At 37.7% G+C, this 23124-nt stretch overlaps 1 long non-coding RNA gene and 2 pseudogenes across 1 annotated transcript; 1 reads left to right on the plus strand and 2 right to left on the minus strand.

Moving 5' to 3' along the window:
• WBP1LP12 (WBP1L pseudogene 12) lies at positions 1237 to 1743 on the plus strand (annotated as a pseudogene).
• On the minus strand, positions 12213 to 13150 carry OR4F1P (olfactory receptor family 4 subfamily F member 1 pseudogene; annotated as a pseudogene).
• LOC107986552 (uncharacterized) lies at positions 15320 to 17394 on the minus strand. The gene is made up of 2 exons (XR_001743907.1): positions 17073 to 17394; positions 15320 to 15574 (listed from the first exon to the last, which is right to left on the minus strand). It is a non-coding gene; the product is annotated as an uncharacterized LOC107986552 (long non-coding RNA).
• Between the last annotated feature and the right edge of the window lie 5730 nt (positions 17395 to 23124).

Consider the following 23124-nt stretch of genomic DNA (forward strand, 5'->3'; position numbering starts at 1 on the left):
CATTAGGAGATATACCTAATGTTAAATGATGAGTTAATGGGTGCAGCACACCAGCATGGCACATGTATACATATGTAACTAACCTGTACGTTGTGCACATGTATCCTAAAACCTAAAGTATAATTTAAAAAATAAATAAATAAAAATAAAAATAAAAAGGCAAACAAGGACACTATAAGAAAAGTATGGGCCAACCAATATCCCTGATGAACACAGATACAAAAGTCCTCAAAAAAAAGTACTAGCAAACAGAATTTAACAACATATTAGGAGAACATTTACCATGATAAAGTGGATTTATCCTCCAGATGTTTCAGCAAACACAAATCAAATGTGATAAACCACATTAACAGAATGAAGGATAAAAAAATAGCTATCTCTATATATGCAGAAAAAGCATTTGACTAAATTCAAAATCCTCTCATGACTAAACCTCTCAACAAATTGGGCATAGAAGGCATGTACCTTAACACAAAACAGGACATATATAACAAGCTCACAGCTCACATCATACCCAACAATGAAAAAGTGAAATCTTTTCTGCTAAGATCAAAAACAAGACAAGGATATTTATTCTCACTACTTCTATTCAACTTATTTCTGGAAGTCCTAGCCAGAGCAATTAAGCCAAATAAAGAAATAAAAGATTCAAATTGAAAAGGAAGAAGTAAAATTGTCTCTGTTTGATGACATATTATATATAGGAAACCCTAAAAACTCCACCAAAAAGCTATTAGAAATGATAAATGAATTCAATAAAATTTCAGAATTCAAAATCAATGTACAAAACTCAGTAGTTTCTTTACACTCACAACAAACTATATGACAAAAATAAAGAAATCAATCTCATTCACAGTAGCATCAAAAAAAACGTATTTTTTTTGTTTAGGAGCACATTTAGGATTGTACTTAGGAGTACATTTAACCAAGGAGGTGAAAGATCTGTATTCTGAACACTATAAAACATTGATGAAAAATTGTAGATGACACAAATACATGGAAAGATATTTTATGTTCATGGGTAGGAAGAATTAATATTCTTAAAATGTCCTTACTGCCCAAAGCGATTTATAGGTTTAATGCAATATTTATCAAAATTTCAATGTCATTCTTCACAGAAATAGAAAAAACAATTTGAAAATTTATATGGAACCACAAAGGATCCTGAATAACTAAAGGACTCTTGAGCAATAAGAACAAAGCTGAAGGCCTCACAATCTGACTTCAAAACATATTACAGGAAAAGAACAAAAGAAGGAAGAAGAGGGTAGAGGAGAAGTGCAGCAAGGGTGGAGGGAGGTGCCCACGCTGGGTCGGAGGAGCAGGAGGAGTATGGAGGGAAGACTCCTGGGTGGCATGGAGCTCTTGCACCTCTAGGCACTGCCCAGCCCTGTGTCAGCCAGGGCTGAACCCCCACAGGATAAGGAAGCCTGTGTGTGTACCAACAATCAAAGCTACATCTGTGACACAACAGGACACTGCTATGGGCAGTCTCAGTGTTGTAACTACTACTATGAACATTGGTGGTTCTGGCTGGCATGGACCATCACCATCATCCTGAGCTGCTGCTGTGTCTGCCACCACAGCCAAGCCAGCCCTCAAGTCCAGCAGTAGCAACATGAAATCAACCTGACTGCCTATCCAGAAGCCCGCAATTACTCAGTGCTACCATTTTATTTCACCAAACTATTTATTACCTTCTTATGAGGAAGTGGTGAACTAACCTCCACCTGTTTCCCTCCCTGTCTGTCCATTGTGGATGAGCTCTGAGCCCTGTTTTCCTGTGAAGATTCTTTGAATTGCGGCCATTCTATTCACATGAACTCTCACATCTGGAGCACAGATGGCCCTCTCAAGGTAATTTATTGTATGCATTGACTGTTTACCAAACAAATGTCTTCCTATGTACTCAGGTATATTCAGCAGCATTGTCGACTGCAGTCCCCTATGCTTGCCAGAAGATACTGTATTCAAAGTAGAAGTTTCACAGTGATGAGTAATCACTGCAATTTTCCCATTGCTCCATGGACTCTCGGAGGCCGGTGTTCTGTTCCCTGTAAATAGAGATGTACTCTGAACCTTTCTGCCTCCCTCAGCTGTTCCTAGTCCTTGGTATCAGCCCCTGGAAATGTCCACAACCACTTAGGACAAAAGGCAAAAGTGGAATTTCAGACAAAACTTTGATAGGATCTTCAGTGATAAACTTGGACTAACTGTGGCCCAGGTATCAGCACTCCCAAGAATTGCCAGGAGGAAGCTTTGGCAGACACCACAGGTATGGCAAGGCCTATCTCCCTCTGCTGAATCCAACAGGGGCAAGCAAGCTGGCATGTGGCTTGAGGTGACCTGAATATGTCAGCACCCCTCAGATGTCTTTCTTTGCACTTTTGAAAAAAATCTCAGAATTTGCTGGCAACATGGCCAAATAGGAACAGCTCCAGTCTGCAGCTCCCAGTGAGATCAATGCAGAATGCAGGTGATTTCTGCATTTCCAACTGAGGTACCTGGTTCATCTCACTGGGACTGGTTGGACAGTGGGTGCAGCCCACGGAGGGTGAGCCAAAGCAGAATGGGGCGTTGCCTCACCCAGGAAGTGCAAGGGGTTGGGGGAATTCCCTCCCCTAGCCAAGGGAAGCCCCGAGGGACTGTACCATGAGGAACGGTGCACTCCACCCAGAAACTATGCTTTTCTCATGGTCTTCACAATCCACAGACCAGGAGATTCCCTCCAGTGCCTCTGCCACCAAGGCCCTAGGTTTCAAGCACAAAACTAGGCAGCTGTTTGGGCAGACACCGAGCTAGCTGCAGGAGGTTTTTTTTTTTTCATGCCACAGTGGCAACTGGAATGCCAACAAGACAGAACCATTCTCTCTCCTGGAAAGGGGGCTGAAGCCAGGGAGCCAAGTGGTCTGGCTCGGCGGGTCCCACCCCTACAGAGCCCAGCAAGCTAAGATCCACTGGCTTGAAATTCTTGCACAGCAGTCTGAGATTGACCTAGGACACTAGAGCTTGGTGGGGGGAGGGGCTTCCACATTGCCAAGGCTTGAGTAGGCAGTTTTACCCCCACTGTGTAAACAAAGCCACCAGAAAGTTTGAACTGGGTGGAGCCCACCACAACTCAGCAAGGCCACAGCAGCCAGACTGCCTCTCTAGATTTCTCCTCTCTGGGCAAGGCATCTCTGAAAAAAGGGCAGCAGCCCCAGTCAGAGACCTATAGATAAAACCCCCATCTCCCTGGAACAGAGCACCTAGGGGAAAGGGTGGCTGTGGGCACAGCTTCAGCAGACTTAAAGCATCTTTGAAAAGCCTGATGGCTCTGAAGAGAGCAGCAGATCTCCCAGCACAGTATTCGAGCTCTGATAAGGGTCAGACTGCCTCCTCAAGTGGGTCTCTGACCCCCGTGTATCCTGACTGGGAGACACCTCCCAGTAGGTGCCAACAGGCACCTCATACAGGAGAGCTCTGGCTGGCATCTGGTGGGTGCCCCTCTGGGACAAAACTTCCAGAGGAAGAAACAGGCAGCAATCTTGGCTGTTCTCCAGCCTCTGCTGGTGATACCCAGGCAAACAGGGTCTAGAGTAGACCTAGGGCAAACCCCAACAGACCTGCAGCAGAGGGGCCTGACTGTTAGAAGGAAAACTAACAAACAAAAAGGAATAGCATCAACATCAACAAAAAGGACAGCCACTCAGTGACCCCATCAGAAGGTCACCAACATCAGAAACCACAGGTAGATAAATCCATGAAGATGGAGAGAAACCAGAGCAAAAAGGCTGAAAATTCCAAAAACCAGAACGCCTCTTCTCCTCCAAAGGATCACAACTCCTCACCAGCAAGGGAACAAAAGAAAACTGGACAGAGAATGAGTTTGACGAATTGAGAGAAGTAGGTTTCAGAAGGTAGGTAATAACAAACTCCTCCAAGCTAAAGGAGCATGTCCTAACCCAATGTAAGGAAGCTAAGGACCTGGAAAAAAGGCTAGACCACTTGCTAACTAGAATAACTAGTTTAGAGAAGAACATAAATGACCTGATGGAGCTGAAAAACACGCCATGAGAACTTCATGCAGCATGCACAAGGATCAAGCACTGATTCGGTCAAGCGGAAGAAAGATATCAGAGACTGAATATCAACTTAATGAAATAAATCAAGAAGACAAGATTAGAGAAAAAAGAATGAAAAGAAATGAACAAAGCCTCCAAGAAATATGGGACTATGTGAAACGACCAAATCTACGTTTGATTGCTGTACCTGAAAGTGATGGGGAGAATGGAACCAAGTTAGAAAACACTCTTCGGAATATTATCCAGGAGAACTTCCCTAACCTAGCAAGGCAGGCCAATATTCAAATTCAGAAATATGGAGAACATTACAAAGACACTCCTCAAGAAAAGCAACCCCAAGACACATAGTCATCAGATTGAGCAAGGTTGAAATGAAGGAAAAAATGTTAAGGGCAGCCAGAGAGAAAGGTCAGGTTACCCACAAAGGGAAGCCCATCAGACTAACAGCAGATCTATCAGCAGAAACTCTACAAGCCAGAAGAGAATGGGGGCCAATATTCAACATTCTTAAAGAAAAGAATTTTCCACCCAGGATTTCATATCCAGCCAAACTAAGCTTCATAAGTGAAGGAGAAATAAAATCCTTTACAGACAAGCAAATGCTGAGAGATTTTGTCACCACCAGGCCTGCCTTAAAGGAGCTCCTGAAGGAAGCACTAAACATGGAAAGGAACAACTGGTATCAGCCACTGCAAAAACATACCAAATTGTAAAGACCATTGACACTATGAAGAAACTGCATTAACTAACAGCAAAATAACCAGCTAGCATCGTAATGACAGGATCAAATTCACACATAACAATATCAACCTTAAATGTAAATGGGCTAAATGCTCCAATTAAAAAACACAGACTGGCAAATTGGCTAAAGAGTCAAGACCCATCAGTGTTCTGTATTCAGGAGACCCATCTCACGTGCAAAGACACAAATAGGCTCAAAATAAAGGGATGGAGGAATACTTACCAAGCAAATGGAAGGCAAAAAAAAGCAGGGGTTGCAATCCTAGTCTCTGATAAAACAGACTTTAAACCAACAAAGATCAAAAGAGACAAATAAGGGCATTGCATAACGGTAAAAGGATCAATGCAACAAGAAGAGCTAATTATCCTAAATATATATGCACCCAATACAGGAGCACCCAGATGCATAAAGTAAGCTCTTAGAGACTTAAAAAGAGACTTAGACCCTCACACAATAATAGTGGGAGACTTTAACACCCCACTGTCAATACTAGACAGATCAACGAAACAGAAAGTTAACAAGGATATCCAGGACTTGAACTCAGCTCTGGACCAAGTGGATCCAATAGACAGCTACAGAACTCTCCACCCCAAATCAACAGAATATACATTCTTCTCAGCACCACATTGCACTTATTCTAAAATTGACCACATATTTGGAAGTAAAACACTCCTCAGCAAATGCAAAAAAAAAATGGGAATCATAACAGTCTCTCAGATCGCAGTGCAATTAAATTAGAACTCAGGATTAAGAAACTGACTCAAACCCACACAACTACATGTAAACTGAACAACCTGCTCCTGAACAACTACTGGGTAAATAAAGATATTAAGGCAGAAATAAATAAGTTATTTGAAACCAATGAGAACAAAGACATAACATACCAGAATCTCTGGTACACAATTATAGCAGTGTGTAGAGGGAAATTTATAGCACCAAATGCCCACAAGAGAAAGCAGGAAAGATCTAAAATTGACACCCTAACATCTCAATTAAAAGAACTCAAGAGGCAGGAGCATACAAAAAGCTAGCAGAGGACAATAAATAACTAAGATCAGAGCAGAACTGAAGGAGATAGAGACACAAAAAAACCTTCAAAAAAAAATCAATGAATCCAGGAGCTGGTTTTTTGAAAATATCAAAAAAATAGATAGACCACTAGCCAGAATCATAAAGAAGAAAACAGAGAAGAATCAAACAGATGCAATAAAAAATGATAAAGGAGATACCACCACTGATCCCACAGAAATACAAACTACTATCAGAGAATACTATAAACACCTCTACACAAACTAGAAAATCTAGAAGAAATGGACAAATTCCTGGACACATACGCCCTCCCAAGACTAAACCAGGAAGAAGTTGAATCCCTGAATAGACCAATAACAAGGTCTGAAATTGTGGCAGTAATTAATAGCCTACCAACCAAAAAACAGTCCAGGACCAGATGGATTCACAGCCGAATTCTACCAGAGGTACAAAGAGGAGTTGGTACCATTCCTTCTGAAACTATTCCAAACAACAGAAAAAGAGAGAATCCTCCCTAACTCATTTTATGAGGCCAGAATAATTCTGGTACCAAAATTTGGCAGAGACACACACACAAAAAAAGAAAATTTCAAGCCAATATCCCTGATGAACATCGATGCAAAAATCCTCAATAAAATACTGGCAAACCAAATCCAGCAGCACATCAAAAGCTTGTCCACCACAATCAAGTCGGCTTCATCCCTGGGATACAAGGCTAGTTCAACATACGCAAATCAATAAACATAATTCATCATATAAATAGAACCAATGGCAAAAACCACATGCTTCTCTCAATAGATGCAGAAAAGGCCTTCGACAAAATTCAGCAGCCCTTCATGCTAAAAACCCTCAATAAACTAGGTACTGATGGAACATATCTCAAAATAATAATACCTATTTATGAAAAACCCACAGCCAATACTGAATGGTGAAAAACTGGAAGCATTCCCTTTGAAAACCAGCACAAGACAAGGATGCCCTATCTCACCACTCCTATTCAACGTAGTATTGGAAGTTCTGGCCAGGGCAATCAGGCAAGAGAAAGAAATTGTCTCTGTTTGCAGATGACATGATTGTGTATTTAGAAAACCCCATGGTCTCAGCCCAAAATCTTCTTAAGCTAATAAGCAACTTCAGAAAAGTCTCAGGATACAAAATCAATGTGCAAAAATCAAGCATTCCTATATGCAAAAAACAGACAAACAGAGAGCCAAAACATGAGTGAACTCTCCCATTCACAATTGCTGCTATGAGAATAAAATACCTAGGAATCCAACTTACAAGGGATGTGAAGGACCTCTTCAAGGAGAACTACAAACCACTGCTCAAGGAAATAAGAGAGGACACAAACAAATGGAAAAACATTCCATGCTCATGGATAGGAAGAATCAATATCATGAAAATGGACATACTGCCCAAAGTTTTTATAGACTCAATGCTATCCCCATCAAGCTACCACTGACTTTGTTCACAGAATTGGAAAAAACTACTTTAAATTTCATATGGAACCGAAAATGAGCCCGCAGAGCTAGGACAGTCCTAAGCAAGTAGAACAAATCTGGAGGCATCACGCTGTCTGACTTCGAACTATACTACAAGCCTTCAGTAACCAAAACAGCATGGTACTGGTACCAAAACAGATATGTAGACCAATGGAACAGAACAGAGGCCTCAGAAATAACACCACACATCTACAACTATCTGATCTTTGACAAACCTGACAAAAACAAGCAATGGGGAAACGATTCCCTTTTTAATAAATGGTGTTGGGAAAACTGGCTAGCCATATGCAGAAAACTGAAACTGGATCCCTTCCTTACACCTTACACAAAAATTAGCTCACGATGTATTAAAGACTTAAACATAAGATCTAAAACCATAAAAAACCCTAGAAGAAAACCTAGGCAATACCATTCAGTACATAGGCATGGACAAAAACTTCATGACTAAAACACCAAAAGCAATTGCAACAAAAACCAAAATAGACAAATGGGATCTAATTAAACTAAAGAGCTCCTGCACAGCAAAAGAAACTATCATCAGAGTGAACAGGCAACCTACAGAATGGGTGAAAATTTTTGCAATCTATCCATCTGACAAAGGGCTAATATCCAGAATCTACAAAGAACTTAAACAATTTACAAGAAAATAACAAACAAACCCATCAGTGGGTGAAGGATATGAACTGACATTTCTCTAAAGAAGACATTTATGCAGCCAACAAACATATGAAAAAAAGCTCATCATCACTGGTCATCAGAGAAATGCATATCAATACCACAATGAGATACCATCTCACGCCAGATAGAATGGCGATCATTAAAAAGTCAGGAAACAACAGATGCTGGAAAGGATGTGGAGAAATAAGAATGCTTTTACACTGTTGGTGGGAGTGTAAATTAGTTCAACCATTGTGGAAGACAGTGTGGTGATTCCTCAAGGTTCTAGAACTAGAAATATGATTTGACCCAGCAATCGCATTACTGGGTATATATCCAAAGGATTATAAATCATTCTACCATAAAGACACATGCATACATATGTTTATTGTGGCACTGTTCACAATAGCAAAGACCTGGAACCAACCAAAATGCCCATTCAATGATAGACTGCATAAAGAAAATGTGGCACATATACACCATGGAATACTATGCAGCCATAAAGAAGGATGAGTTCATATCCTTTTCAGGGACATGGATGAAGCTGGAAACCATCATTCTCAGCAAACTAATCCAAGAACAGAAAACCAAACACCCGATGTTCTCACTCATAAATGGGAGTTGAACAATGAGAACACATGGACAGAGGGAGGGGAACACAACACACCGGGGCCTGTCTGGGGGTAGGGGCTGGGGGAAGGTTAGCATTGGGTTAAATACCTGATGTAGATGATGGGTTGATGGGTGCAGCAAACCACCATGGCACGTGTATACCTATGTAACAATCCTTCATGTTCTGCACATGTACCCCAGAACTTAAAATATAATTTAAAAAAAAATCTCAAACAACTCACTGAAGTGTCTCAAAGCTGAACAAGTTTTACCGAAATGAATCCTTCTCAGTTAACTGATCAAATGGATGAATCCTGACCCTCTGAAGTCTCTTTCCTGAGTTAGAGCAGGGAACTGCTCTGAGTGTTAACTGTTGGATTCACTGCAGTGTCCTACAATATTTTACAAGAAGATGAAAAGGCAACCTGCAGACCTAGGCTTGATTCCCAAGTCACAGTCTGACCCCTGCTACAGGAGGTTACCCTCCTCAGGAAGAGATAGAAATAGGGAATTTGAAGGAATAGTGAGGGGACCAGGGAGATTTGATTGAGTCTGGTTTCCAGGTGAATTAAAAGGAAGGATGTCATCCAGGGTTTGTTGCTACAGTCAAAAGAATAAATAAATCAATGAAGAAATACCTTCATTGTCTGTGGTTTTCATGCAGATATACTCATGGAGGTTGTATCTCTCCAAAAACAGACAAATCCAAGGCTGTGAACAAGCATCCGCATTTGAATTCCATTAAACCAAAATCTATGTTGAACGAAGTGAAGTCTGTACACAGCATTGCAAATGTGAACACATTCCTGTGTGAGGCACATCACCATTTGTCAGTTATTGTGAATATGTGTATTTTTAAGCAATAAGATGCAGCTGGTCAGTTTTCTGGGCAATCTTGGCGATGCATTTCCTGTGCTGTGGTTGTTCTCTAACCACTGTGAGAAACCCAAATAAAAATTGATCCCCCCCCAAAACAAATACGTATCACAAAACCATAGTAATCAAAACAACATGACACTTGCACAAAAACAGACACATTGACCAGGGGAACAGAATAAGGAACCCAGAAATAAACTCATGCATTTATGACCAATAAATTTTTGACAAAGGTGCCCAGAAAACGTAATGAAGAATAGACATTTGTTTCAATAAATGGTGTTAAGAAAACTAGATATCCACATGCAGAAGAACATGAATGTGTATGGTGTGTATCCTTATCTCACACCATACACAAAAATCAATTCAAAATGGATTAAAGGTTTAAACATAAAACTGTAAAACTACTAGATGAAAACATAGGGGAAAAGTTCCACAATGTTGGTTTGGTCAAAGATTTCTTGGATATAACCCCCAAAGCACAGGCAACAAAAGCAAAAATATATGGGATTGCATCAAACTAAAAAGCTTCTGCACAGCAAAGGAAACAATATGGTGAAGAGACAACCTACAAGTTGTGAGAAAATATTTGCAGAGCGTACATCTGATGAAAGGCTAATCTCCAAATATATAAGGGACTCAACTCAATATCAAGAAAACAAATAACCAAGTCAAAAAATGGGCAAGGTCCTAAATAGACATTTCTCAAAAAAAATACAAATGACTAACATAAAAAAAGTTTGTCATCCTAATTATCAGGGAAATGCAAATTAAAATGACAGTGAGATGCCACTTCATACCTGTTAGAATGGCTACTATCAAAATGATAAAAGATAACAAGTGTTGAAGAGGATACAGAGAAAAGGGAACCCTCGTACACTGTTGGTGGAAATGTAAATTAATACTATTATGAAAAATAGATAAAAGTTACTCAAAAAACTAAAACTAGAATTACTATATGATCCAGCAATCCCACTTCCTTGTATATATCCAAAGGAATTTAAGTCAATATGCTGAAGAGATATCTCCAGGCTCATGTTCATTGCAGCATTATTCACAATACCCAAATATGAAATCAACACAGGTGTCTATCAACTGACAAATGGATGAAGAAAATGTAGTGTATATATACAATGGAATACTACTCAGCCTTAATAGGAAGGAAAACCTGATATATGTGACAACATGAATTAACCCAGAAGATATCACGCTAAGTGAAATAAGCCAGGCACGAAAAGACAAATATCACATGATCTCACTGATATGTGGAATCTGAAAAAGTTGAATTCATAGAAGTAGAGAATGGAATGGTGATTATCAGAGGCTAGGAGTTGGGGGTAGACATGGAAAAGGTAGATGTTGATAAAAGGGTTCAAAGTTTCAGTTAGACAAAGTTTCAGTGAACTATTGCACGGAATGGTGACTGTAATAAATAACAAGGTATTGTATGTTTCAAAATGACTAACAGAGTAGATTTTAAATGTTTTCACCACAAAAAAGATATGTATGTCAATAAGATAGACCTAATCTTTCCACAATTTAAACATGTATCAAAACATTACATTGTACCCCATAGATACAATTATTATTTGTCAATTTAAAATTTTTCACTAATTTATATTGTTATTGTTGCACCAACTCCTTTCCACCAGGCAGATTCTCATAAAGACTATTTTCTCTCTTACATGAAGCATTTCCTACACACCTCTTAATCACGGTAGCATTGACATCATTCCACCAGATTCTATCTCCAGTGTTAAAATAATCAAGAACCCAGAAATCTCCACCAGGGGGCAACCAATGCGTATCAAAGTTTCCCACTTTCCTTTAGATTTACTTATGGGTAACTTAAGGGAAAAAATACTTAAGTACTTCCCTTTTTAAAGAAAAAAATTATATGAATTCTACAAAATTATGGCAGAAAATTTAAGAAGAGCAGATGCTTCCCAACTCATTCTAAAGGGCCAGCATTACCCTGATTCTGAAATGAAAAAGCTTTACAAAATCCAAGATCCATTCCTGACTAAAGATAAAAGAAATTTTCAGCAAACTGTGAATACAGAAAACTTTCTCAGCCTGTTAAAGAGTACCTATGAAAAAAATTATAGCTAACATTATACTTAATGATGAAATATTTAATATATTTCATAACAGGAACAAGTCAAAGATGTCTGCTCTAACTAATTCTACTCAGCATTCAACAAAATGAATATAGTGAATTCATACTAGAATTTTAAAAGCAAATGTCTTTATTCACTGACAACATAATCATCTATAAAGAAAATCCTACATAACCTATAAAAAACTGATGGAACTAATAAGTTTTGCAAGTTTACAGGATATAATGTCAAACAAAGATCTATTATGTGCCCATAAGCTAAGAATAAACAATTGTAAATTGAAATAAAAATGTCACTTAAAAGGGCATCAGAAATATAAAACTTAGAGATAAATATAAAGTACATATGCATAAAGTACCTGTTCACCAAAAACTACAAAACATTGCTGAAAGAAATTAAATGGGCATAATATAGATGTAGAGATGTGTTGAATTTATGACTCATTTTGAACAAGGAATATATTCATCATATATTCATCAGATAAGAATTATGTTACAGGTCTAATAACATTCAAATCAATACATAATGTCTCATAGTTCCTGAATCTAAAATATCAAAGAAAGAAACATAAAGCCATATCATGTTTAACAAGAAGGGCTTATTGTATCATTTATGAGATCTTCTTGTAAATCACTAGCTGTTTGCATACTCTCTTTATTGCTGCCTTCATCTCCTTATTCCTGAATGTATAGACAACTGGATTCAGAAAAGGAGTGAGAACTGCATCAAAAATAGCCAGAAACTTGTCCATCTGTGAATTAGGGTGTGGCCATGTATACACAAACATGGGTGGACCAAAGAACAAAAGGACCGCTGTGCTGTGAGCTGAAAGAGTGGAAAGGGCCTTGGATGAACCACCTGAGGAATGTTTCCAAACAGTAAACAGGATGAAGATGTAGGAGATTACAAGTATGAAGAAAGTACCCACACAGATAAACCCACTGTTAACAGTGACCATGAACTGCAATCTGTAGGTGTCGGTACAGGCTAGTCTGAGAAGCCGAGGAAGGTCACAGTAGAAGCTGTCCAACACATTAGGGCCACAGAAGGGTAAATTAACAAGAAATGCCAGTTGGAACAGGGAGTGACTGACACCAAGGGTCCAGGCAACAGCCAGAAATGAAAGGCACATTCTTGGGCTCATAATGGTCAGATAGTGGAGGGGCTTAATAGGGCCACATAACTGTCAAAGGCCATGGCTATGAGCAGCACCATCTCCACACCACCAATGACGTGGATGAAGAAGATTTGAGCGATGCAGCCTCCAAAGGAGATGACTTTGCGCTTTCTGAACAGGTCATAAATCATCTTGGGAGAAGTGACAGAGCAGGCTCCTAAGTCAATGAAGGAGAGACTGGCCAGTAGAAAGTACATGGGGGAGTGTAAGTGAGGGTCAGTGGTCACAGAAAATACAATGAGGATGTTTCCAGTAATGCTTGCCACATAGAGCACAGAGGAAAACACTAGGAGGAGGAGCTGGATCTCCCATGAATGAGTGAGTCCCAGAAACAAAAACTCAGATACCACTGAGTGATTCTCTCCATCCATTGGTCCAGCCAACTGGGCTGTGGCTAAAATTATGAGAACTAAGAAAATGGGGAGGAAATTGTGATTATGAAGATAATAATATGTACTAAAATCAATATTGCAATGTCACTATGAATAAATAGTATACAGTTATTCTGTTCCTCACATATTAAAAACAAAAAATCAACATAATATTATCACAACATGTGAGCTGCAACCTGATTTAAACCCATCATCAATACTTTCAGTGTAATGTCTGATCTAAAATTAACAGATTAGGTAAGAACAAGATTCCTGACTATCCATGAAATTCATCAGGTGTTTAAATGACCTGTGATATTAACTATTCCTCATTTCCAACATATTCCATTTGTACTTATACATATTCTTATAATTTCCTTCCCTTCCCAGTTTGCAGCCACAATTCTCTGACAGAAAGTAGACATAAGAGGAAAACATGATTAACAGATGGATTATCACCTGCAGTAAGAGGTGCCTGGGACGGACTTAGTTGAGGTAGGCTGTGGATTGAGACAGAATATAGAGACTGGGGTATGTGAAATCGGAAAGCCCACAACTGTAGCAGAACAGAGTAAGTGGACTTTCACAAGAAATAGAATCACCACCATTATCTACCACATTTTCTCATGCTCACTGCTATTTAAGTGCCTCAGTTTCTATACAATCTTTCACAATTACGAAGCCCTAAATGGCTTCCCATCCTGCAGTGATTTCATAAGGAGCCTATGCCACCTGTCATGTAAGGCTTTTTCCATGCCTAATAAATATGTTTTGGAGGGATTTCACCAGAGTTTTTGCTAAGATGCATAAAATGGCCACAGAGGTTGTGAGAAATCTCTGCAGTTTCTCTTTGTCTATACACATGAAAGTATAGAAGACCAGCACTTGGATTAGTTAAGATAATGTTTTAATTCATCACTGTCTCCTCCTCCCCTTGGTACCAGCTTTTATGTTCATTGCATTCCCCATCCTTTTAAGTACTCAGTACCTCCTGCATGGTAACCTATTCTGATATTTGATATTATCATGCTTAATTTGACTGAATCCATTTGGATATTTTATCTTTAAGAAATTTGTAGTTTTATACTTTTAATTTATGATAAAATTAGATTAATATCAAACATTAACAAGTGACTTTTAGGAAGGTATATGAGCTTTCTTATTGACTTCAAACTATAAAGTACAAACTGTGACACTAGAAATTTAGTCCTTTAACACATGTTGTATTTATATGTGAAGTGGAGGGTGAGCAGAAAACAGTGTTATATTTCTCTGTGTCCAGATGGATACTCACCTCAATGATTTTCCTATAGTAGAAAGTAGTTCCTGAAAACACTTAATAGAGATTATTTTAGAAGTTGCTGAGGTACAAATAAAACTGCTATGCTGACATCATACTTTTTTGCACCAACAACTCCAGTTCTTCTGACACAAAGGACCATCTTCCTAGTGCCATAATTTATCTTAGACCCCAAAACTCACAGAGGCACACATCATATCTCTAATACTTGCTCACCACCACTGGCATGAGTCTCTCTCTATCCTCTTCTACGTGAAGTGATTATACTGTCACCTCTGGAGCTAACTGTCCACAGTCTCAAGATGCACACTTTTTACAACCAGAAGCCTATGGACTGGGTGAGGGAGCAGAAACAGCCACAGGTACTGCCCATCAGGGTAATGTAAGTCAGCATGCAAACAACTGATCAGATGAACATGAATAGCAAGGTGCTGAGGCACTGGGAAGAGGGACCGGAAAACTCTATAATTGTTGAAAAAGACTCAAGCCCTTGGGAAGGGAAATGCCTACGAAATTATATAAAGGCCATTTTATCCAAGTTGGTCATCATTCAGATGAAAACCATGAGGCCCAGAAAAGTAAACTGAGTTTCCAGAATTCACACAATTGATAGAATAGGAACCAGAATTCAGGCCTCTTGCTTCCTATTCCAGAAAGACAAATTGCAATAATAATCAAATAATATGAGCAATCATCCAGTAAAAATAATCTAGTAAAAACAGCAAAACTCAAAAGAGTGATTTTTCCTGGTTAAGACCAAAACTAACCATAGATTGCTATACATAGTATCTATTATAAATACTGAATTATATAGCAGCCTGACAATAAATACATAAAATGTGTACACAAAGATTATTGAACCTGTACAATACAGTAGTAAATAGTAACTTTATATTTGCAAAGTGACTGATCATTACTATCAGAATTTGTACCCATTCTTCATATTTTGTTGGTCATATAACCAGTTACTACAACTGCAAAAACAACCTAAGGTCATGTTTCTGTGAAGTCCATCCTTTTGGTCTTTAAATTTTATTATCCTCAAAGGTCAATTATGATCTCAATCTTTTCTTGTAATTTTACTGACAATTCTCCTTCACACTGATTTGTTCTTTCTCTAATTCCTGTAAATAGAAAGAACCAAAAAAAGTTGAAAAAACATGTATTGTACATATAACAAACAATCATATGTGGTATACAATATATATCAAATGAGTATTAAGATAAACATTCAAAGAGTTTTAAAGAAAAAAGTGTTATAGATATTGGAGGGCAGAAGAGACGATTGCCATTAAGAACAGGTGGAGGAGGTTATGCCAAGGACATTGACCTGACCCTTTAGGAATTAGTGAAAATTGAATAGGAGAAGAATGAGGTATACAATGTGTGAAAAATACCTAAATTGATATAACAGGAGGAGACCTTTTCATATCAATTATCATTACTTCTGTGTATATAACCATATTAGATACCCACAAACGAATAGAAAGTGGATAGTTCTTGATTGACAAGTAAGACTAATAATCCCAGATCATAGTAAGGTCTTAACTTCAAGTCAATAATCTTTATTACTTATGGTTCATTCCTCTCCCTTATGTTTTCCAATAATTTTAAAATGCATAATTAAAACAATTCTCATTTAAAAACATAGTAGCCATGACTAATGATCTTCCAGTGGGAAGGTACTAAGACTTTACAACATGTTTCTTGCTGGGGATAAGACAGCCTACAGCCAGCATTCAACTCATTTTTCTAAAGTCTATGGATCAATTTGAAATACAGAAAAAGTAGAACAGAGATAAAGTTAAAACAAGATTAAAAATATGGGAAGAATGGGAGAAAGGGGAGATTAGAAGATATGAACAATGATTTAAAAATAAAAGAGCCTCAAAGGAGAAGAGAAACTGCTAAGCAAGACTAAGGTAGGATGAAATACAGTAGTCTCTGTTTCTGAGAACACAGGTTAAAAAGAACATAAATAAAATAAATTTATCACCTTTAATACACTCATTCAAGGATGCTACTGAGTTTGACTTTGGGAATTTCTCACCTTTAATACACTCATCTGGGGATGCTACGGACTTTGACATTGGGTTGCATTTAAAGGGGGAGAGAAAGGGCAGTTGCTTCTATTATCTGCCCTTTTGGACTCACAGAGTTTCTTTGAAAAGCACAGATGATAATAAATGGAAATATTGCCTTTTATACTATACAATAATATACACATGCAATTCACTGGAAAAAGTATACTTGTTACTATGATTTGAGGATACTACCATATACTAATCAAGAGAAACACATGTACAGAACAAAGAAGGCACATGAAATTTTTACTAGTGTGTGTTTTCCTTGTGTTCTACCACCCCAGGAGCAGCTTCTGCTACTGAAGATCACAGTAGAGTTATTTCCAAAAGTTGTGGGTCTGCAGGGTGGACTTATCACATAGCTGTTTGCCAAAATTCAAAAGTCCAGAAACCATTTCCAAATTTTCACCTCTTTTATCTTCAAATCCTAAAACTATGAAAATTCACAAACTTAGCTCCATATATTATGGTAGAAAGGTTAATAATTTGGACTTTGAGGTTGACCAGGCCTGATTTTTGAATAAATTCACAAACTTACCTCCATACATTATGGTAGAAAGGTCAATAATCTGGACTTTGAGGTCGACCAGGCCTGATTTTTGGATCCAGGCTGCAACACTCACTTGCTGTGTTAACGTAACAAAGTTCCTAGACCATGCTGAGCTTCAGTTTACTTGTTATTGAATTAGGGATATAGCGTTCGAAGGAAGAAGTTCTAGTATTTGATTGCACAGCAGAGAAATTATAGTTATTGAACTGGGGATATGTAGATAGACATAATAAATTTTAGTATTCAATTATACAATGGAGAAATCATAGGGAACAATAATTTATTATATATTCTAAAATAGCTAGCAGAGAAAAATTATAATGTTCCCAACACAAAGAAAAGATAAATATTCGAGGTGATGAATATCCAAATTACTCTGATTTGATCATTACACATTGTATACATGTATCAAAAATATCACATGTACCCCAAAACATGTACAACTATGATACATCAATAAAAAACAACAAAAAAACCAAAAGAATAGAAATCAAAAATAAATACATAAATACATAAAATAGGGATAATAATACCTCCCTTGCTTGCTTGCTCCCTTGCTCCATTTGTAAGAAATAAGTGATATAATATAGGTAAAAATACTTAACCTCATACCTACCACATAGTATAGCACAATAAACGTTATTTATTATAATCTGAGGCCTACCTACATAAGTGACTTTCAAGTATAGAAAATTATTTCTCAAATTTTAAATACTCCCTGATTCTCAGGTATGGTAATTAGACCTGGCTTTAGGTAAAGCTCTCATGTCTACACTTGGATTTAATCACTTAAGTATATTTCCCAGCGCCCCCCCCAAAAAAAATTGCTCCTAGGTGGACACACTAATCAAAGACTTCCTGAGAAATGCAGGAAGAAGTTTTGTCCTCTGACCACGCTACGCCCTTTCCTTGATGGTAAGCCCCATAATCTAAAGCCATAAGTTTCAATTCCTCACATAAAAAGAAAAAAAATGTCTTTTATGACCACTTCAGATAACACTGGATATTTCCCTTGTCATTAGGAATGAGAAATGGGAGGAAGGTAAACTTGTAGACAGGAGAATTGGTAGATGCTTGAAAGGATTTCTGAAAACTGTGCCTATCCAGGTGTACAAATGTGTTGACCAGCCAAGGCAAAGCAGTCAAACCATACAATACCTTATCCTCAGGAAAATGGACTTTTCTCCCAAATTGCCTTTTTCATGAAAAATATAAAATTCTCCAGTTTCAACCTCATGTTAAATTTCACATGTGAAGAAAACAGTCATGCACATCAGAAAATTAAATGGCGAGTCAAGACCAAATTCCTAGTCACAGTTATGTTCTGTTTCCAGTATTACCTTCTCACTTATTCATTTTGTTAAAGTGGAGCCAAAATAGAAGTGGGTGTCACACATCAAGAAAGACTGAAGTCGTACAAAGCCGATCCTTATCCAACGTGCATTAAAATATGCATCAGGCATGTGTGATGCATATAGTAGAAGTGGAACAAATCAGGCCAGGTGCAGTGGCTCACGCCTGTCAGCCCAGCACTTTGGGAGGCCAAAGCAAGCAAATCGCTTGAGATCAGCAGTTCAAGAAGTGTAACAAATCCTCTACAATATAAGTAGAGTGAAAAGAGATAGCTACAGTGATGAGGGAAGGCACTATAGTGATGTGGCATTTGAGTATAGCCATAAAAGAGGATAAATATTACAATACATGAATATAGGGTCTAAAGAAGTCTTTTCAAGTAGATTGTAAAATATTTCAAAAATGGTAAGTTTGGTGTATGTTGAAGCATACAGATTGTCTACATCCTAAAAATCATTTTGGTGAATAAAGGAAAATAAGAAAGGTAGTCAATATTCATTTGTTGCCTATCATTAGAAACTTCTCAAAGGTATATGAGAATTATTAAATAAATTTAGGAAGCCAGTGAAGGTATGGGTCCTGGGAATTGAGGATGAAGCCAGTAATTAGGGAAGATGCCCCATCTATAAGTGTGATGTATCAAATGGAGGAAAAGAAAAACGGAGGGAAGGAGTTCCCTTAAGAGAAGATTGAAATAGAGCAGACTTGGGGGGCTACACAGAGGAACTGGGACTACACAGTTCCAGCTTTAAGGCTATAGAAACAGAAATAGAAATACTGGTAAGTAAAAACCCAAAGGATTGGTGACTTATCACAGCTGGAGTGAATACGAAGGAGCATGAACTCAAAGAAAATATCAAGATTTAAGCAAGAATAAATAGGACAATGGTAGGTCCATTTTTAGAAATTAGAAAGTTGAACATAAAATATGTCAGGGTGGAGAAAATAATCACTTGTATTTTAAGCAAATAAGAGTATTAGATATTGAGATGCTCAGGTGAAAACATATGACAGGATATATGGGGGAAAAGTACAAATTCAACATGTAATTGTATAGTAATCCATATAAAAATAATAGACGGATGTGTAAGAGTGCATAAGGTCCCTGAAGGAAATAATACACAGGAAAAAAAGATTAAAAAGCAAAGACCCAACTATAGAAACTATCCACATTGATTATGTAAAGTAGGAAAAGGAATCAATAAACTAGACAGAACATCACAGAGGTAGGAGGACAAGTGCTGGCCTCAAGGAGCCAACACAGAAGCAGGTATCAAGAATAAAGGAGGAGAAGAGAGAACAAAGAGAGAGAGAAGAGAACTTCTGTGGCAGAAGATCAAGTGGGATGGTAGAATAAAGGAGAAGAAATACAAGAAAATTGAAATAAAATTTACAGAAATGTTCTACATTGTAAGTGGGCAGTTTTGACCTGGCACATTGTTGGCACACATTATAAATGTCAAATGTATTAATGAATGAATGAATGGATAATATAATGAATGTGATGGAGTTGTCAAAAGCTGAATTAATTAAAAGTCCCCACGAGAGGTTAGATGACAAAATTTTCAGAAACTTTCCATGCCACTCTGTTGTGACATCAACAGTGCTGGACCCTTGAAATCAAACCAAAAGGATTCCACCATGAGAATGAAAAGGGCTGAGAAGGGGAATGCTGGGTGACACAGAAGGTGACAAAGGGCGAAAGGTTTCTAGACATTTGATAGACTGATGGACGTCCGAGCTGACCATAAGGCACAGGCCACACAGGAAGGAAAATGAGACCCAACGCGAAGAAAAGTAGGGCTAAACAGTCGGGAAAATGTGGGAAGAAGGATGAATAGTCATACGATCAACTCAGATTCCTCCCTGACATTCTTCTACAGCTTTATTCTCGTCCTTTGGGAGCCGAGATGTTCATTTTCCTACATTCTTAGCTGCCTACACACGGCGACTTTTCTCCACGGTGCCTGATCCCTGCTGCATCCTCCTTCTCTAGTGGCAACAGCAAATGGCCACACAGAAGGCAGACATTGCACCCAACTGAGGAGAATGTAATTCACTCATTGCCAGTCACAGACCTTGGCTCACCGATTTACTAAGTATAGATTTTATTTCTATCCCTCACCTACCTGTTTTGCCAAGGGAACTAAGAAAAGAGCATCATCAAAAATTCAGATAGGTATAGTTCTCACAAGATGAACCAGATCCAGTACGGCATCACTGCAGACATACACACAGAGCTGCATAAAACAGGAAGAGAGCTGCTAATCACAGCCCCAGAGGGTAGTGGCCAAAGTGATGCCTTGGAGATCCGAGAATGCCAGACTGAGATCACACGGCCTGGGGAATTACCGCCTATGGTCATTTTGGTTTTCCCGGGATAGCCATGTTAATTGGGTGAAATAAAGCATATTTGATTTTCTTATGACAAAAAAGGGCTTTTGCCATTGTCTACAGATGATACTTTAAATCTTTATTTTATGACTAAAGGTGAATTCCAGAGCAACATTAAATGTTGTCCCTTTAAATTTTTAATCATTTACATAACGATTACCATAATATTCAATTTAAACATAAAATGTAATTGAAAGTATGAGATTAATATGTGGACATGAAATCATATAATATTCCATGGAAAAAATAGAATGTATAAGGCAAAGAGGTTTAAAGTAACATCAAAACTAACGCTCACTATACAAATTCTATGAAATCCTCATAATTACACTGTGAAGCAGGTGTTGTTAGAGCCACATAATCTCAAACAAATTATTTATTATCTAAAATTACATAGATATTAAAAGGTTAGGCCATATATGAATTTAGGATTCTCTCAAAAATTTTTTCTCTTTCTCCTACATCAAACTTCCCTAAATTATAGAAAAGTCACAATGTTACCAAACATATTCACAAAACACATATAATCTTGAATCCAAATTTCAGTTACAGCAGAAAAAATAAAACTCTAGATCAATCTCAATCGTGTAAATAAATTCAGATTTCCAATCTAAGAGTCTCAATTTGACATACTTCTTTCTCTCTCTTCTTTCAAACCAGGAGAAATATAAATATGAGCCACAACCTTACAAAAGCTAGAAAATATTTACAATTCCACACAACAACACATGAAGAAAACCTTCTGGACATCAAAAGTTTAAACCAGTCAAGACTGAACACCAAGATAAAGTGCATGCCTCTGAAGAGCTTGAGCTAGTCAAGAAGCCCAGAAATCCCTAAAAGAGGTGTGTATACTGAGGACTGAGGATCAAAACCTGTGATCTTTACTTGGAACAGAAATATTGCAGCATGTGAACCCTCCACAGAGTGACAGAGGGAAAGGAGTTTAAAGGGAAACATGCAAATGTATCACCTTTGGAATAATTAGGACACGTGTGTGGTGTAATGAAAGAAGGCAAAAAGATGGGGAAGAAGCCAGACAGATGGCAATCTTCATTCTATTATGAAAAGAAAAGGATAAGTCACAAGTCACATGACGAAATTAACAACTATGAATCCACTCTAAGCCATAGTCAATCCTATAGCCTAGGAGTCATTCTAACAGATGAGAGTGTTTTGGAGACAAGATTCCAAAACTCGTCTGCCTTCCATCATACTTACTACCCCCAGCTCCTCCTCCACAATATCCTTTCACAAGTATCTAGAATATTCAAAGACTAATAATATTATATAATTATTTATAATAATTGTATTACAAAAATAAAACTTGATGACCTTTATAAAAATACTAGAAGAAAAAGGGAAAATTACATAAGGTACAGAACATACAAATTATACCATGAAGCAGTAAAAAACAGGATCAAATTTTCTATGTTTTTTAAAAATATGCCTTCTCTAAAATGTTTTCTCTCTGAAATGATATTTAGAAGACATAATTGAAAATAAATACAAAATAAAGTGATAAAAAATAATCTGGCAAAATTCAGGATGTAATGAGTAAAGACAACCATGAAAGAAATGAAGATCAATAAAAGCAGGAAAAAAAGTGGGAAGTGGAGAGAATAATGCTGCTAAAAACACAGATAAGAATATAAATGACAGGCTTAAATATATCCTGAGCAAAACGAAATAGAAAACACAAGAAGGTGAAATGTAACATTAAAGTCAGGTCCAACAAATGAGAAATTAGTGTGAAAGAGCTCACAATATCTGGTTAAAAAATTCAAAGATAAAAGAAAACTTTTCTGAAATGAAGAAAACATTGAATCTAATGGTTAAAGGGCTTATCTTTATCCAGAAAAAATGTGTTATAGTATGACCACATCAAGGCAGATGCAACTGAATTTACCGGACTTCACAAACACAAAATAAACAACCCACAAAAAAAAAAAAAAATAGAGTCCCCATGAGGCTTTAATGAAGACAACTATTAGAGGCCAGGCGCAGGGGCTAACACCTACAGTCCCAACACTTTGAAAGGCCAAGGCAGGAGAATCACTTGAGCCCAGGAGTTCAAGATAAGACCAGCCTGGGCAACATAGCAAGACCCCATCTCTATCAGAAAAACTTAAAAAAGAAAACTATCCACTAAAAATGAATAGAGATAACATGATACAAGTGAGCATTCTGAAGCCTAATATCAAAATGTTCTGGGGTTTGCGGTTAAAGAACAGAATGCAAATGTTACAAACCATAACTGTATAAAGACTAATTATATTCATAACAAAAATAA

Source organism: Homo sapiens, chromosome 6, assembly GCF_000001405.40.
Source record: "Homo sapiens chromosome 6, GRCh38.p14 Primary Assembly".
Classification (NCBI taxonomy): Eukaryota; Metazoa; Chordata; class Mammalia; order Primates; family Hominidae; genus Homo; species Homo sapiens.